This window comes from Homo sapiens, chromosome 5, assembly GCF_000001405.40.
Source record: "Homo sapiens chromosome 5, GRCh38.p14 Primary Assembly".
Taxonomy (NCBI): domain Eukaryota; kingdom Metazoa; phylum Chordata; class Mammalia; order Primates; family Hominidae; genus Homo; species Homo sapiens.
The window spans coordinates 10,648,657-10,665,567 of NC_000005.10; the positions used below are offsets into that span (position 1 = coordinate 10,648,657).

At 50.7% G+C, this 16,911-nt stretch overlaps 1 protein-coding gene and 1 pseudogene across 2 annotated transcripts in view, besides 1 other annotated feature; one reads left to right on the forward strand and one right to left on the reverse strand.

Annotated features, from left to right (window-relative positions):
* The window catches only part of ANKRD33B (ankyrin repeat domain 33B), a 93,747-nt gene extending 84,587 nt beyond the window's left edge, over positions 1-9,160 (forward strand). For both annotated transcript variants that reach the window (NM_001164440.2, XM_005248343.5), the window contains one exon: positions 610-9,160. In NM_001164440.2, the coding sequence (NP_001157912.1) occupies positions 610-1,457 (848 nt within the window). In that variant the 3' untranslated portion in view covers positions 1,458-9,160. The remainder of the gene's footprint in view (positions 1-609) is intronic.
* Positions 7,477-8,425: an enhancer, noted in NCBI's record as "H3K27ac-H3K4me1 hESC enhancer chr5:10656245-10657193 (GRCh37/hg19 assembly coordinates)". NCBI's record gives its function as "activates a minimal SCP1, AML or CMV promoter by ChIP-STARR-seq in naive H9 embryonic stem cells {active_cell/tissue: H9 hESC(naive)}" and the evidence as "EXISTENCE:reporter gene assay evidence [ECO:0000049][PMID:30033119]".
* Positions 15,452-16,503, reverse strand: ITSN1P1 (ITSN1 pseudogene 1; annotated as a pseudogene).

Sequence of the window (16,911 nt, forward strand, 5' to 3'; positions counted from 1 at the left end):
GCTGAGGCAGGAGAGTCGCTTGAACCCGGGAGGCAGAGGTTGCGGTGAACGGAGATTGTGCCATTGCACTCCAGCCTGGGCAACAAGAGTGAAATTCTGTCTCGAAAAAAAAAATTCTGTAATTTAGGTGCTGAATTCAGGCGGGGTTTTATTCAGGACAGATAATCAATGGAGCACTTAAAAGGCAGGTTGGGCTGGGCACGGTGGCTCACGCCCGTAATCCCAGCACTTTGGAAGGCGGAGGTGGGAGGATTGCTTGAACCCAGCAGTTCGAAACCAGCCTGGGCCACATAGCCAGGCCCCATCTCTACAGAAAATTACCTGGGCGGTGGTGTAGCCCCAGCTACTCGGGAGGCTGACTTGGGGGGATGGCTTGAGCCCCGGAAGTCGAGGCTACAGTAGGACGTGTTCCCGCCACTGCACTCCAGGCCCGCCTTCCGGCGCTCAGATGAGCACAGGGTTCGCAGAGTGAACTAGGTGCAGTCTGTTAGGAGGCTTGGGGCCAGGGGTGGGGGGTGGGGGCAGTTTTGCCTTTGCCCCAGGCTCTGCCTGGGAGGGAAGAGTCCTTGTTGCCGCCACCCACTTCTGTTTGTGTTTTGCGTTTTGCAGGGGCGGATGTCCACGCGAGGGACCCCCGCCGTGGGATGTCGCCGCAGGAGTGGGCCACTTACACGGGCCGCGTGGATGCCGTCCGTCTCATGCAGAGGCTGCTGGAGCGCCCCTGCCCGGAGCAGTTCTGGGAGAAGTACCGGCCCGAGCTGCCGCCGCCCCCTGAAGCGGCGCGGAAGCCCGCGGGCTCCAAGAACTGCCTGCAGAGGCTCACAGACTGCGTGCTGTCCGTGCTGACGCCGCGCTCCGTGCGGGGCCCGGAGGACGGGGGCGTCCTGGACCACATGGTCCGGATGACCACGAGCCTCTACAGCCCCGCCGTGGCCATCGTGTGCCAGACCGTGTGCCCTGAGAGCCCTCCGAGCGTGGGGAAGAGGCGGCTGGCGGTGCAGGAGATCCTGGCGGCGCGGGCTGCACGGGGCCCCCAGGCGCAGGAGGAGGATGAGGTGGGGGGCGCGGGGCAGCGCGGGCGGACCGGACAGGAGGACGCGGACTCCCGGGAGGGCTCCCCGAGAGCCGGCCTCCCTCCCGCCCTGGGGTCCCGGGGCCCCGCAGCGCCCGCCCCGCGGAAGGCCAGCCTCCTGCCCCTGCAGCGCCTGCGGCGGAGAAGCGTGCGGCCCGGTGTGGTGGTGCCCCGGGTCCGAGTCAGCAAGGCGCCCGCGCCCACCTTCCAGCCCGAGCGGCCGGCGCGGAAGGGCAGCACCAAGGACAGCGGCCACCTGCAGATCCCCAAGTGGCGGTACAAGGAGGCCAAGGAGGAGAAGAGGAAGGCAGAGGAGGCCGAAAAGAAGCGCCAGGCCGAGGCGCAGAAGGAGAGGCGCACTGCGCCCTGGAAGAAGAGGACGTGAGGGCCCGTGTGCCTGGCGCTGGGGCCGGGGCTGGGGCCGGGGCGGGGCCGCAGGGCTGGGCGCGGAGAAGGAGGCGGCCCCGTTGCGCATCGCACCACTTCCGCTCCATGGACCACGGGGCTGCGCGCATTTCCAGGCTGTTTGTCCAGGCTGCTTCCAAGAGAGGGCTGAGGGAGCCACATGGATTCGCTTGTCGCCAGCCCTCCTAGCAATCAGTACACCTAGCGGGCACGTTGCCTAAAAGGCTCCCTTTAGAGAACCTCAATTAAGATTTTTTTTAAAGATCAATTTATCAAAGGGCGTTTTCTCCGTAATTTTGTATTTTTAATCATTATTTATCAAATTTGCAACGTTTTACAAGTGATAGGGCCCCTTATATCCAAGGCAGTTTTAATACACTTGCCTGAAGACCTTTTGTTTAAGATACTGTTTCTAGCAATAAGTATCCATGATACCTGTATGAGTTCACACAGACATCATGGGATTCTCCCCTTTTTGGCTGTTTGGTCTTTTCTCCTCATCGTGGGTGTAGGTGCACACTGGATGTTCTTAGTCATTAGATTAAGTGTTGCCGGATATTTCTATTTGACGGAGGCATTGGCTCGTTGAGCCACATGATCAAGTGAGACAGAGGATCAGATGTTACTGTATCTTTTTAAAACTCTTATCCATATAGTAATATATTGAGGAAAAACATATTGTCAAATTATAAAACAATGGAGCGATAAACATGTATTTATTGCTAGAATTAAACTCATTTTAAGCAAGGGGTTTTAGGTAAACTGGATACGAAATCTTTAACATTAAAAATAGATATGAGAAAAAAACTGTCATTCGATAAAATGAGGCAAATTTAATAATAAATGATTACCAGAAATACAAAATTAAGCCATATGTGCTCTTAAGTAATTCGAATCCAGATATCCTTAAAATGTCAAAAAGATGCAACAAGAGTCAGGAGCCCAGAATGACGCAAATTACAGGAATGGGGAGGAGGTGATTTTTAGAAGAGGTGAGAGAATGGAATGGGGAACAGACTTGTTTTCGGCAAATTCTCCTGGAGTAGACTGGGCAGCCCCCTCCTCCAGGCTCAGTTCCAAAGAGTCCGTTGTGTGGATATTTCTTTTATTTTTCCTTTGAGGACTGCGCTTGGTGTTTAGTTCATCCTTATGCCGACCTCTTAGAATTTCCAAGATGCAGGGCCTTGGGCAGGGCAGGGCATGGGTGTGATTTGCCTTGGGCCACAAGCTCTTGGTGAGAGTCTTATGTCCACACTTTTATCTCCAAAGTGACATGGAGATCACTTTTCTCAGTGATCAAATTTGAATTTATCAAAGGGGGTTTTCTGCATAATTTTGTATTTGTAATCATTATCAGATTTGCAGCATTCTAATTCGGCAGGGCAGGGTATGAAAGCTGGAAACTCAGGCTGGAGTTTCTAGTTCTAATGGCTCTCTGGCCATGTGGGTTGTAGAGTGTCTGTCACATATGCACTTTATTTCAGTATTAATTGAAATACTTGGACACGCACGATCACAGGCCTATTTGGAGGCTCTGTACTATGACCCTAATAACCCTAGATACATCATGATACATGGTGTCTGTCTCAGGATGCAGGCAGGGCTGGTGCAGGCTTCTCCATACTCCCTTCCACTTGGCACCAGCAGGCATCGAGCAACCAGGGATCTTAAACTGGCCTCTCCAAATACTCCATTGAACAGGACTGCAGGCTGCACCCAGGCTAATGGGAGATTGGTGTGTTGATGATACAGTGTTTAAGATGAGATTGCAGTGAGTTCCTCCTTAATCCCAGAAGGGCACCATGATGAATGCCACAGGAGACTGGACCCTCTTTGAGAACTGCAGATATTAGTTGACTGTGGGTCACCCTCGTGGCCAAGGAGTTGGGATTGGCCATGTCTTCTTCGAGGAGGTGGAGACTGTAACTGACACTGGTTATCTTTGGGGTTGTCTTTCCTGAATCCTTTGGCATGTGGCACCTTCCTGCCACATGTAGATAATTCACGGCATTACCAAGTCACCACGAGCCCCACCCTCACCTCTGTCAACCGAGGACCCAGCCAGGCAGTGCCATGTGGTCTCCCAGGCACGCTTCTCAACACCGGCTACCCCTGCTGTGAAGGTTCTCAAGGCCCTGGTCCGGGGAGCCAAGCCCTGGGAGCGCCCTAAAGCTCCGCAGGTAACTGCACTGCAGCCCGCATTGAGAACCGCAGCTCTAACACAGTGATTGCGAGAGGACACCCATTCTGAGCTCCCACAGAGGGCTCCACCTCCCCAAGAATGTCTCATTGTCATTGGAACAGCCAGGGTCAGGCAGCTTCTGCTCGGACTGACGTGGCGTCTGACCCTTGGTGGGTTGCCAGACATTCCTGCCTGTTTCCACCATGGGAAGCTGTCACTGGGAATGGTATGGAGCCCTCACTTCTACCCCAAGCCTGGGTGTCTGCTGCCTCCATGTCAAAAATGGACATTTCTGGTCCTGCCCAGCTGCTACCTCACCACAACCCATGCTCAGAGTTGTCAGGGATGCGTGGAACAGCAATGATGGGACAGCAAATGACTGGCAATTTCCCCAGGTCCCACGCTGTTCTGGAGTGGACGTGTTGCGGCCCTGCCCCCGATGTGTTCCAGCCTCATCCAGGTGCACAGGATACTCTGGGGCCAGCACAGGGATTGTCCAGTGATGCTCCTGGTGTCCACAAAACAGCTCTAGAGATACCTGCATTTTGAAAAGCCTGCTGAGCCAACAAGCTTGGGGCAGGACACGGATTTCTTTGGCAAATCTGCAGGCGAGCTGACCACTTGCCTGGTGAGTGGAAGCTGCCATTACCTGGCCAGTGTTTGCAACTCGAGGGAAAATGACAGCTGCATGGGGGGAAGCCTGACCTCCCGGGGAGCTTTATTGTGGCCTCAGTGGAAAGATTGGATTTTGAAACCTGCCAGACCCAACTGAAAGAAGGGTCATTCCTGATTGAGTTGGAGACTCTCCCCAGTCCCTCTCTCTGGACTCATTCTAGCTGTGGCCTGCCTGTGGACAGCCCTTCCCTTTGGCCCATGCGGCGGGTCCAGGCAGCTCCTGCAGCTGTGCTCATGGCTGCTGGCCCAGAACTTCTCATTTTTGCCATGTGGAAGCAGATTTGCTAGTAGAGGAATTTTCCAAGTCAAGGGAAGTGTTGCCAAACCTCTTGCCTCGACCTGTGGGGGGCCTTCTGCTCTTGTTTTCTCATTCTCTTTGGAGTGGGCACAGAGGGGACAAGTCGGCCCCCAGTGAGGCTCAGGGAGTGCAGGAGACCAGGGAGGGAAGCCCAGATGATGGGGAAACAGAGCCACCTTGAGGGGGTGTCATGGGGTCAGTGTCAGGGTGATCTGACGGGTCAGTTCATACTTAAGCAACATTATTCTGTTCGTTTCTTTTGGGTAAGGAATTCCTCATGGGAGGTGTGGTCATCTGGTCGTAGAGGTGGACAGAAACACCCCCTCGTCTTCCTGAGCCATTTGGAAGCCCTTTCCTCTAGCCCTAGGTACTGGTGACACAGGCCCCTCGGTCTCAGGATGTGGACAGGGCTGGGAGGTGCAGGCTTCTTGTCCCATCCCCACTCAGTATCATCGGGTATCTGGTAGTCAGGGGTCTCACAGTGGCCTCTCCAAAAGCCTGGTGTCCTTGGAGAACATTTTTCATTTTGTCTGTTTTCGTTGCTTTGAACAGCTGCATTCACTCACCGAGGGCTCGCCCTCCCTGGATCTGCCATGTGGTTCAGGGAGGAGGGGACCGATGAGCACCGACCCCTTCTCTTCACCTGTCAGTGGCCACCACAGTGCCCCCTCTGGCTTTGCCACCACGTTCTCCTGCCCCCGTCACCTTGTCTCTTCTAACTCATTAGCCTTTCCTTCCTTTGTCTGTTTTCTTCTCCCAGCTGGTTTAAGTTCTTGATCATCCCTGGCACCACCTACCCTAAGGTCTTCCAAGAACAGAAAAGCCAGGGCCTGTGTGGGGCAATGTGTTGTCCCTGTCGGGTTATGGTGGGACCTCCTAGACCCCAGAGTGAATGAATGGCAGGCCTGCCAGTGACTGTGCTGATGGCTTAGAATTCCTACACGGCTGTGCCTCTCCCACCCCGTCCTCTTTGCTCGGAAGGGAGACCTGGTTTGCTCTCCTCCATGACAGCCCAGCCCCTGCTGTGCACAGGGGTGGGGCTCGGGATCCCTCCCTGCACCCTGATGTTTATTAACTGTAGATAGTGAATTTCAAGTTGACAGGTACCTTCTCAGGGATTTATATATAAATATAGTTAGAGGAAAAGTTGAAGTCTATTTTACTACTTTTTAGTGTTTGAGTAAATTATGCTTTAACTGGACAGAAGAAATATTTCTCAGACAATGTCGATGCTGCTGATGACAACTGAGATGCCTGGAGCTCACCCTTGATGGAGACTTCCTTGGTGATTGGAGATGGGGGACTCTGGTGGCAGAAATGGCTTTGGGGTAGGTGTGAAGTTGCTTCAGTCCCTCTGAGTTGCCTCTTCTGGATGGAACGTGTGTATCAACAACAATGAAATGCACCTCCGTGTGCATGGAGGCGGCTGATGAGAATACAGATAGGCCAGTCCTCGCTCTTCCCTCCAGAACCGGCCGCTCCCGGTCTGACGTTGGAGCACGTGAACTAAGAGTGACAATTTTTTCTACTTGCTTCTGTGAATAAAGTGTTCTACAGTCAGCCCAGCACTAAACTCACCAGAAAAGAGGAGGGAACAGCACGGAGCCATTCATCTGGAATTACTCGATGTGCAGAGGCTGCCCCTTGGCCGCACTTGGGAACATCGTGGACATCTTCCTTCCTCTCAGGCTCCTCCTGACAGACTCCTGGCAGCACTGGAGACCTCAGGACTATGGAGATCAGAATTGTAATGGCTTTGTCATCTCAGTGTGGCCACTCCTGAGGCAAGAGGCTCCTCCTGGGAGCAGGAGAGAGAGAGTTTGTGATGTTGGTTGGAAAATAGGATTTATGGATGCAGGAGGGCCGTGCTAGGCCCCTCTGCCCGCTTCTCTCCCTGCTGTTGGCGGTGACCAGGTCTCAGGAGCGGAGACGAGGCTGTTGTGAGTGAAACAGAAGCCCCTGGCATAGGGCCAGACCCTAGGCCTGAAAAGGATGCAAAGCCTGCTGTTTTCAGGCTGTTGGGAAGAATCGTGCGTACCGAGTGATTATGATGAAACGTATCCCAGAGAGGAAATGAATGGGACCTGAAAAGTGGGTCTGCCACATCCCTGGTAGCCCGCCTCCAAGAGCACTACACTCCCCCCAGCCCCACCGGCCACACTACATGACGTGGGAAGGCTGTCCGTTCATCCTTACCCTGGGGACTCAAGTGTGCTCTGCGGAGTGAGTCACAGCCCTGATGTGCACCCTGCACTACTCTTTCCCCAGGTGCGCCGGAGACGCAGGCTTGCTCATTTCCGTCCTGACACAGCTCGCTGTTCCTGCGGTGGTCAGAGTCCCCCTGTGCTGTGTCAGCTCCTGGACACTACTAGTCTTTCACATGATAAAGCGCGAGCACTTTTTCGCTTTTGCAGTATTTGGGGAAATTCTAACACATTTCCCGGGGATTTGCCCAGGTCCCTCCACCTCCCACGGTGGGTAACTGTGTGGATTCTGCACCTGGCAATCGGCGCTCCCCTTTGGAAACACCTGGGGGCCCTGTTTCTTCCAGCCTGGTCCTTGGTTTCTACCCCAGCCGCTTTCAGCCGGCACCTGCATGGGACTGCCTGGAGGGCCACGGTCCAGGGAAGGACAGGTGGGACCCTGACCATGACAGATCTTTCTAAAACAATAAAGTCCCATTGATGACAACTGCAGTGGGATGAATGCCATTGCAGCGGTCATGCTGGGAGCTGCCGAGAGCTTACAACAAAAGCAGTTCCTCTCAAGACACTGCTTGCATCTTCCCTCCACGCCTCTCGGTGCATTTGGAACTTGTTTATGCGCTGGTATAACTCGAGTCAGCTGCTTATTTCTGTGCCCTTGCACTCACAGGTTCCTTCATTAACATTTTAAATAAGTGGCTAAAAAAACTCCTCTGGAGGTTGTTTTTGAAAGAGACAGGAAAAAGAAACACACAGTACCTGGATTGTTTTGACTTATTTTCAAGCGACTCAGCTGAAAGCCGGTGTTGCATACACAATTTCCTCACGCTGACCCAGCCTGACTAAGACTTGATAAAAGGCACAGCCCTTGGCAGCAGGCAGTGCCAATGTGGACAGTGTACACTAAGCTGTGAGTGTGTGCACGGGCGAGCACATGTATGTGTACTCATACATCCAGATGAACTAAAGGGACACTGGGCTTTGTGCTGGCAAAGGTTACGATGCTGCTGTAGCTTGGCTGTGGGCCCCAGGCAGTGTCAGATGGAACCTGCTTTGATGGCGTGTTGTTCAGTGTACTCAGTGGGGTCTCACATGGCCCGAGGACCCACTGTGAGCACTCCGCCCGCTGTGGCACAGAACACGGCTGGGGTCATCACAGCCCAGGTCTTTATTGAAAGGCGGCTCATATAGAACCCATTTGGCCAGGTCTGGGCCATCTCTCTGCCTCTGCCCTATCTTGGCTGCCTGGAGGGGCCCAGGCCCAAGAGGATTCTTTACCCCTGGAAGAGCTCCCCAGGCATTCAGCCTATGGCCCTTGACATTTGGCTGCAGGTTACCGTCAGAATCAACACCATATCCTGAGGAAGCCCTGGTATTTCCCCAAGTCTGCCTATGTATTAGACACTCTAATCAATGCTAACACAGTTCAGTTTTTGAGGGAACTAGTTTTGTCATAATACTACACCCCTCTATTGTTTTTAAATAAGAAAAAAAAAAACCCCACGAAACTTTCCATCAAAGCAATGGTCCGTGTTGGCCTGATGCTTTAAGAAGTTTGAGGAGGTAGGTATGGAGGCACCTTAACACCAGTTTTTGAGCAGAAGTTCTAGAAGCTGATTTAGAACTACACAGCTATGGATACACCTGATGAAAACCGCAAAAGGCGATGACAGGCCCAGAAATATGACCAGCAAGCCCGTGAGCCTTTGGGGCATCCGACTGAATTTGAAAATAATACCCCATTCAGATGAACATTAAAAGCCAATGTACTGGAATTCTCTTTGTTCTGCCCGACATTTGGGGGTGTCCAAGGACCTGTGTTTTTAACAAAGATGACTTTATGACCGTTCTAAGGATTGAACAGATTCCTGCACAGGGTGCCAGGTTTCAAGTTAGGTCCTCTTAGTATAAGCTCTCTTTTTTTCTGAATGTAAACCTATTTGCATTGTCATTTCTAATAATCCAGTAGGTTTCTGGATATTGTAAAGATACTGAGTACAGATATAACTGTGTAAATTTCATAGTGTTTTATTTTGAGGTGAGAGTTTTGTTATAGTTTATAAAAGATATTTTCCTATTCAGACCTCAGGGCTATTTTGGGACCTACAAATAAATGTGATTCCCAGCAGCTTCAATTTTTGATATTCAAAAAGTTAATAATCTTTAAGCTAAATATAATGTGATATGATTCAGAAAAAAATGTTTTTCCCTTTTAACTTCTAACAAATTATGTATCTAATGTTTAAAAAATATGGAAAAAAGGGATAATGTAAAAATGTGGGAGAATTGTGGCTAAAGAATAAAAAATCACTTGTTAAAACGCATTCTTATGGTACAAATGTGTGATATTTAAATAAACTTAAGTGTGTATAAATTAGAGAATGATACAGTGAAATATACCAGGATTTTTCATGTCACTTCTTTTCATTGAAATAGACGTTCACTTTCTTATCGTGACAAACTTTCACCTTATTTTTCAAAGGTAAGATTTAAAAATTGTGAGTTCCCCACAAATAGTTTGTCACATGTTCAGATGATCTCATTACAATCTGCCTCTTCTCAGAAGAACCCACTGGCAGGTGGGCATCCTTCAGGGATGTTGCCATGAATTTATGTACATACATAAAAACAAGAATATAATTCAGTTTCTATGTGTTCTTTTACCTAAATGGTACACTGTACAGGTTGTCCATTAGTTTCTTTTCTTTACTTAAAATATGTCCCTAGAGAGCTTTTTAAAGAATTTAAATATTTTCTTTTGACAGCTAAAAAAGTAATACACAAATATGAGAAAAAATGTAAACATTGTACAAAGTTCTCAGATGAAAGTGACTTTACCTTCCCCCAAGACAGTCCCTCAGACCAGCTACTTGTACATCCTTTTAGAAATACCTTTTGAATGCGTTCTTCCCTCCGTACTGTGCAAACAGAACCCGATGGGATATAGAGTCTCATTCACTCACTGTGTTTTGGGAAGGGCATGTTGGTCCCTGCTTTGTTCTTTTTCATTGCTGTGTAGTATTCCTCAGCAGAAGTGCACCATGGTTCATTTAACCATTTTCTCATGGGTGAACTTTTCAAATGGTCCCGGTTTTTATGATTTGCTAGTAATGAAGATCCTTGTACCTACCCAATTGTATACACAAATGGATATCTTTTAAGATAGGAGTGCAGAAGTGAGATCTGCCAGGTTTCAAAGAATATGTGTTTTAATTGCTATAGTCACTGCCATGGTGCACTTTGCAAAGCTCTGTGGTGTGTGCAACCACCAGCAGGGAGCAAGAGAGGCCCTTTCCCAATAGTTAGAAAATTGTATCTCGTTTTAATTTTCATTTCATTTCATTTTCCCAGTTGTTGATGTGGCTGAACATCTTTTCACCTGTTTTTCAACATTTTAATTTCCTATTTTTACACATTTCTTATTTATAGCCATGTCTCATTTGGTGTTTTTTTTTTTTTCTTTCTAAGGATGGGGGTGGTGGGTGGAATTTTATTTATTTTGTTTTTTTTTTATTTTTGAGACGGAGTCTCACTCTGCCTCCCAGGCTGGAGTGCAGTGGCACGATCTTGGCTCACTTCAACCTCTGCCTCCTGGGTTCAAGCGATTCTCCTGCCTCAGCCTCCTGAGTAGCTGGGATTACGGGCACTAATTTTTGTATTTTTAGTAGAGACGGGGTTTTGTCATGTTGGCCAGGCTTGTCTCGAACTGCTGATCTCAAGTGATCCGCCCGCCTCGGCCTCCCAAAGTGCTGGGATTACAGGCATGAGCCACCGTACCTGGCCCCTCATTTGGTTATTATTTCACTTTTTGGTGTCATTTTTGCTGGAGGTTGATATGTATTTGGGATCATATTTCATTCATGTGGTGTGCATTTTCTCTTGTTTTATTAAGGTATTTTCTGTAGTGTAGAAGATTTAAATTATGATTTAGTCAAATTTGTCTAACTTTTGTTTGTTTTGGTATTTGCATCCTGTGTTTTTTTTTTTTAAGAAGGCCTTTCCTACCCCAAACGAACAATCTTTTTCTTCTATATTTTCTTCTAATGACCTATAGGTACTTTGCTTTTTTCCTTTTAGCTGAAAGACATGTACCTGTATACACAACTCGTTTAGGTTATATTTGATGGGACTGAAAACAACCAGCCCCTATTTATTTGGGAAGCTCCATTTCGAACGTAGGAAATCGGAAGTCTCAATCATTAAATACCATAATCTATGTGATTATTAAGGAAGAGTCTAAGTAGGGAATAAAATTTTACATATGAACCTTTGTCCTAGGGCAAGATTGTTATTGGAGATTATTTGTGCTCATTTGTGAAAGAGCCAATAATGTGTGTGTGTTGGGTGAAACATGATTGAATAGGAAGGTCACACACAAGGGAGGATCCCCATAGGAAATCCAAAGAACTGGGACGGGAAAAGGGAAATGGGGTTGGGGAGGGTTGGGAGAAAGGTGATCTTGTCTCCTTCATCTTCCTGACTGGAGATACTGGGGGAACGGTGTACTAAGTTCTTTCCCGTGGAAGATGGGAGCATCTTCCCAGGGAGCTGGCCCAGTCCAGCTGCCTCGCGGCTGTGTCTGCCCACGCTGGGCTGAAGTGGTCAAGAACGTCCGCTGAGGATTTTACACATAGCCCCTTGTGATCCTCCTTCACCAAGGCCCTTTACATGGTCTTTGCTCCCAGCAGGTCATGCCTGCCATTTTCCTTGATGATGTCCAGGCTGGTTTCCATCCAGGGACATGAAAGGTGGCCCCAAAGCTTCCAGTCTGATGACAACTTTGATGTGCAAATTGCTCAGGCAGAAATTGTCAGCTTGCCAGCCAGGGGCTTCCCAGTCCTGAGGGGTCACTGATCCCTCAGCAGTGTGGCCTGGGCAGGGGTGGGGAAGGGGTGACAGCCCCCGGGCAGGACGGCCACCACCGCCATCCCCCTCACATCACCTGTACTTCCAGCCTTATGCTGCCTAAGCCCTTTACTGCTTTCCCTTAAAAAGCCAACAGAAACCTAGCAAAAGGTTAATAGGTTCTTTTGGCTAAAAATAATTAAAATACATCAATCCAACTCAAAAGCACCTTGATATTCCAAAAGCAGTATTTTAAAAACCAATCAAGAAATTGGTCAGCTGCAAGGAAAATACTTCACCTTTTTATTAGCTCTTATGTAAGAAAGAAGCCTTATTCATCCCTACAGCCTAGGTGAGAAGCTAGACTAGGAGGCCCCTCTCTAGGCCAAGGGAGACAGGAGGGTTCAGGTGCACGGACTGTGCGGGGAAGCCGGTACCCTGTACTGAAAAAGCTGTGGAATGTCCTCACTCCCAGTGCAAGGGGGTACTTGGGGAAGCCACCCTCCAGCCTGGGCTAAAGATGGCCAGTCTGTGTCCTGCAAAAAGGGCCTGCCTTGGTGTCAGCCCTGGGCACCCCAATGCCCCTTCACCCCTTGTCGGGGGCCCTGACCTGCTTATAGGCCAGGGTGATCATTTGAAGGGATGACAAGTCCTGCCTCGCCAAGCCCCATCTGAAAGGGCCTCCCAGGTGCACATGAGCGTCTCCTGGCTTGATTTAAGCCCACAATGTCTGTTGGAGCATGAGAGGTGGCAGGTAGGGGTGGTTGAGCCACCGCCACCTGCGCTTCCTCCCCCTGCTTTGCAGGTGCTGCCCCTGAGTGTCTCCTCTGCGTGCTCAGCCCCAGGCTGTGTTCCTCTAACTCTACACGCTGGTCCTCATCGTGGACTCAGGGCCAGGTGGCCCTTGAGACATTGCGGCAACTCTCATCTTCTCAGTGATGAACCGCATTTACCTGCACCATGGCTCTCCATGGGCGGTCCCCGGACCAGTAACATCAGCACCACCTGGAAAATTGTCAGAAATGCAGGTTCTCCAGCCCCACCTGTATGCCTTTCTTCGAGTTGCCTTAGCCAATTACCGCAAATGTGGATAGCTGGAAACAAATGTATTCTCTCAAAGCTTTGGAGGCCAGAAGTTCAAGGTCACGCGATGTTGTCAGGGCTGCGCGCCCCATGAAGGCTCTGCGGGAATTCCCTCGCACCTCCTCCAGCCTGTGGCGGCTGCTGGCGACGCTTGGTATTCCTTGGAGAGGGCCTCCTTGTGGAGAGGGTCTCCAGTCTCTGTCTCTGTCATCACGAGGCCATTGTCTATGTGTGTGTGTCCAAATGTTCCTCTTCCTATAAGACCACGAGCCATTGGCTCATCGCTACCCTCATCCAGTGCAACCTCATCCTAACTTGCTTGTATGGACAGAGACCCTATTTCCAAATAAGGTCACATTCACAGGGACATGGGTTAGAACTTGAACATATTTTGCAGGGGACACAAACCCACACCACTACCACAGACTATTGAATAAGGATGTTGAGAGCCTGGGAGGGCCCTCATCCCACCACCCCGGCCAGCTGCAAATCTGATGGTAACTTCTCCATCTGCGTGAGGGAGAGATTTCCACCCTGGGGCATCGGGTTGGCTGCGCACCCAACACCTGACACTGGACACACTGTCAACAGTGGTGTATTCACCACATGCACTCACAGCCCAGGAGGAGGCCACTGCCTGCCACACAGACCACAGGGGGAACAGTGTGAACAACCAGGACCTGGGAGAGGCAGGCTCCGTGGTATCGAGAAGATGGGGTGCCCCCACTCCGTCTCCATAGGAAGATACAATCGGCTCGTTAGGAACATTGCAGGGGCTGGTGGGCCATGGAAGCCGCTCTGCAGGGGTAGCAGGACTGCGTCTGGTCCAGAGACAGGAGGGCAAGTTGGTTGGGGGCCGTATCCATGGCAGCAGAGCAGGACAGGGCTGCATCTGGTCCTGCAACAGGAGGGCAGGTTGGCTGGGGGCCGTATCCACGGCAGCAGAGCAGGGAGCACAGCGCATGGTTGGACCACTCCATTCTCTCCTGGGTTCACCCAGAGTCAGGAGCAAAAAATCTTGAATTTTAATTTCAGGCTTTATATTGTATTATTTGTAAAATAGACCTCAAATCCTTCACCCATTCTCTGCTACCAGCCTAGCCTGAGCTACCATCACACCTCCCAGACAACGGCCTCATTCCACGTTCGTTCCCCGCAAATCCATCCTTCCCTTAATGGGCAGAAGGATCTGTTGAGAGTATGGATGAGATCCTGCCACTGTCCTGCTCAAAACCTGCCAGCAGTCTTTGGTTGCACCTAGAAAAACCACCCAGCCCCTGTCCCATGGCCTGGAGGCCCATGGGGTGTGGCCCTATCTGCTGTTCCTCTTCCTGCTTTCCCTGCTCAGCCTTCAGCCCAGTGTCATTGCTCAGGTCCTTGCCGGGCCCCCAGCTAAATTTAGCTCCCCTTGGGGTGCGCTGCCCCCCGTCACCCTCCTCTTTCCTTTATGGCATTTTCTATACTCTTCTGCTTGGTGTCCATTCCCCATGATGTGTCCGTCCCAGCACCTAAACTGGGCTTGGCCCACAGGAGTTGCTCCCTGGTATTGGTGAGCTGACAGAGAGGAGGGCTGGGGCTACTTTTTGACTTGGGCCTTGCGACTGAGTGGGACCATGAGCAGAGCACAGCTCTCCACCCCAGGGCAGCAGCCCGGACCTCGGAGTCACGGCATGGCCTGTGGGTCAACCCTGCCCGCCTTGGCTGTGGGGCATGGGCATGTTATTTAATTTCCCATGCCCAGGGTCCTCATTTGTAAAGTGGGGATTGTAGGGTTTGCATAACAATTTAATTAAATGACAGAAATTCTACTCAGATCTTTAACAAGGCTGCTGCAGAGTTGGAGGCCACTAAAAGGTAGTTTCCTGCCTTTCTCTGTCCTGCTTCAAACTAAATAACAGATGGCTACAAAATCCAGGACCACCCAGGGTCATCTTCCAGAGGGCCAGTCACTGAGGCTGCAGGTGAGGGAGTTTTAACCCTCCCCCCAGCCCCTGTCTCCCACACCCACTGGCTCACTTTCCATCAGCTCTAAAAGTTTCCTGACTATCCAGGGGCCACAGCTGCGGTTGCCTGGGCTTTTCCATTCCTGAGACTAAAAGAATGTTCACAGCTGGAACCTGCACCAAACCCACCCAGTGACCCCAGATGAAAGCCCCCTGTACCCCATAGAGAGGCAGGAGCAGAGAGAGGGCCTCCAGTCACTCCGTGCTCCAGGGTCCAGGGTCCAGCTGGGGTTTCCAGCTCCCCTGTTGGCACCTGTTCCCCTCTGCGTCTCTGGCAATGACTCATTCCCAGGGACAGAGCTGCCTTCCTGGGGGATGAGCAGGAGCTGCAGGAAGCCAGAAGCGAGGCTGGGGGCAGTGGTCCACCTCCTCACCCCTTGTGCCCAGGGTTCAGAAAAGTGACCTGCCACCAGCGGCCGCCTATTGGCGTGTGGGAGGTGGCTGTCCTCCCAAATGCTGCAGGACATTGCTGATTAGGCTGCTTCGATGTGGGCGTTTTTTGACTAGGGGCATATTAAATGGCAATGGAAACCAGCGAAATCAGCCCTCCGGGAGACAGCAACGCGGAAAGTACCTGCTCCATTAGGCTCAGCCTGGCTCTTCTCCCAGAAAAGCAGACTGGATGAAGGCACTGGGCCAGCTTAATGAAACCCAGCAGCAGTCCACGTATTCTTTTTTTTTTTTTCATTTATTTATTTTATTAAAAAGCTAAAATATATATTTAAAAATAACTTTAAAACTATTGAAAGCACCTGTGCAAAGGTGGGGGAAAGTCAATTTGAGTAACTAGGAAAGCCACAAAAGGACCCACTGCCCTGTGTATTTTTGTAATTTTTGCTCCTATCTCTGCAAGTAATAACTCAAACATTGCAATCACATGCAACTAAGGTAAAATGAGGTAAACTGCTCTGCAGTGAGTTCTTCTACTCAGAAGGCAGTAGGTGAGCATGCTGGAAGTCACATGATCAAGGCTGCATCTCCCATCATCCCTCTGGGCAGTGATATGGGATAGTGGGTCTCTTTGAGGACTTCCAAGCCTGAGAGGGGGATGGACAACATATGATTCATTGCTGGCTTGGGTCCATGTCTGTGGTCAACTTCACATAATTGGATGGGAAGAGCCCCACTTGTCCATTGACTTCTCCTTTCCACCAGTCGGGGTCCTCCTTGTTGAGGATGTTGATGATCTGGCCCTTGTTGAAGGCCAGCTCATCATCATTCTGCGCGGTGTAGTCGTACATCCCAATCACCTGGCACACTGCCGCTAATGCTGTTGACTTAGGTGGCTCTGTTGGAGTGATTTTGCTCGTCCCAGGGCTTAGAAGCTTTACATAATTAGCTGGGAACCAGCCTATCTGGCGCTTTTTCCCACGTGCTTGCAGCTCTCCTTCCCACCATCCACCTGGGTTCTTTTTTCAGATCAAAATCAGCTGACCAGGGGCGAGAGTGAGCTGCTCGGGGCCCGTGGCGGTGTATGAGGAAATAACCTGGGCAATTTCAGGTTTTTTTCCTAAACTCCCTGATTTCCCCAGCAGTTCCAGAGCCCTCTGAATCTTTAAGCCTCACATAGTTAGAAGGGAAGACTCCGGCCTTGTCGCCCACTGTTCCTGTCCACCGGTCACCATCTTCTTGGTAACCAAAATCACATCTCCTTGCTGAAAGGTTAAATCTCCTTGCTCAGAACTCTGGTAAGTGTACATGGCAATAAATTCTTCTCCCGAAACGACTGGCTTAGCAGTCCACGTATTCTAGGCTGTGTGAGAAGGGGGCTTCAGGGGCAGAGACGGGGTTCCACCCCTGGCTACACAGTTTCTCCAGCCTTGGATGCATACTCTCTGTGTGACTCTGACAGTGTTTGTTACGTCCTAGAGAAGAGCAAACTTCTGAATTCGCTGCACACCCTGCCTGGGCCAGTCCTGGACAGAACGATGCTGGGGGCCACTCTGAGCACAGACTCTGTGCCCATCACCTTGACTGACAGTCCTCAGGGGTTCTCCATCTCTTCTCTGCCTCCTACCCCCCCACCGATCAGGAACAGTTCCCCAACCTCCCCCACCCCCCAGCAATTCTTGATGGAAGGTAGATCAGCATAATACAGCCTGCAGTGGGGTGTGTTTTAAAGCAGGGGCCCCAACCCCCGGGCT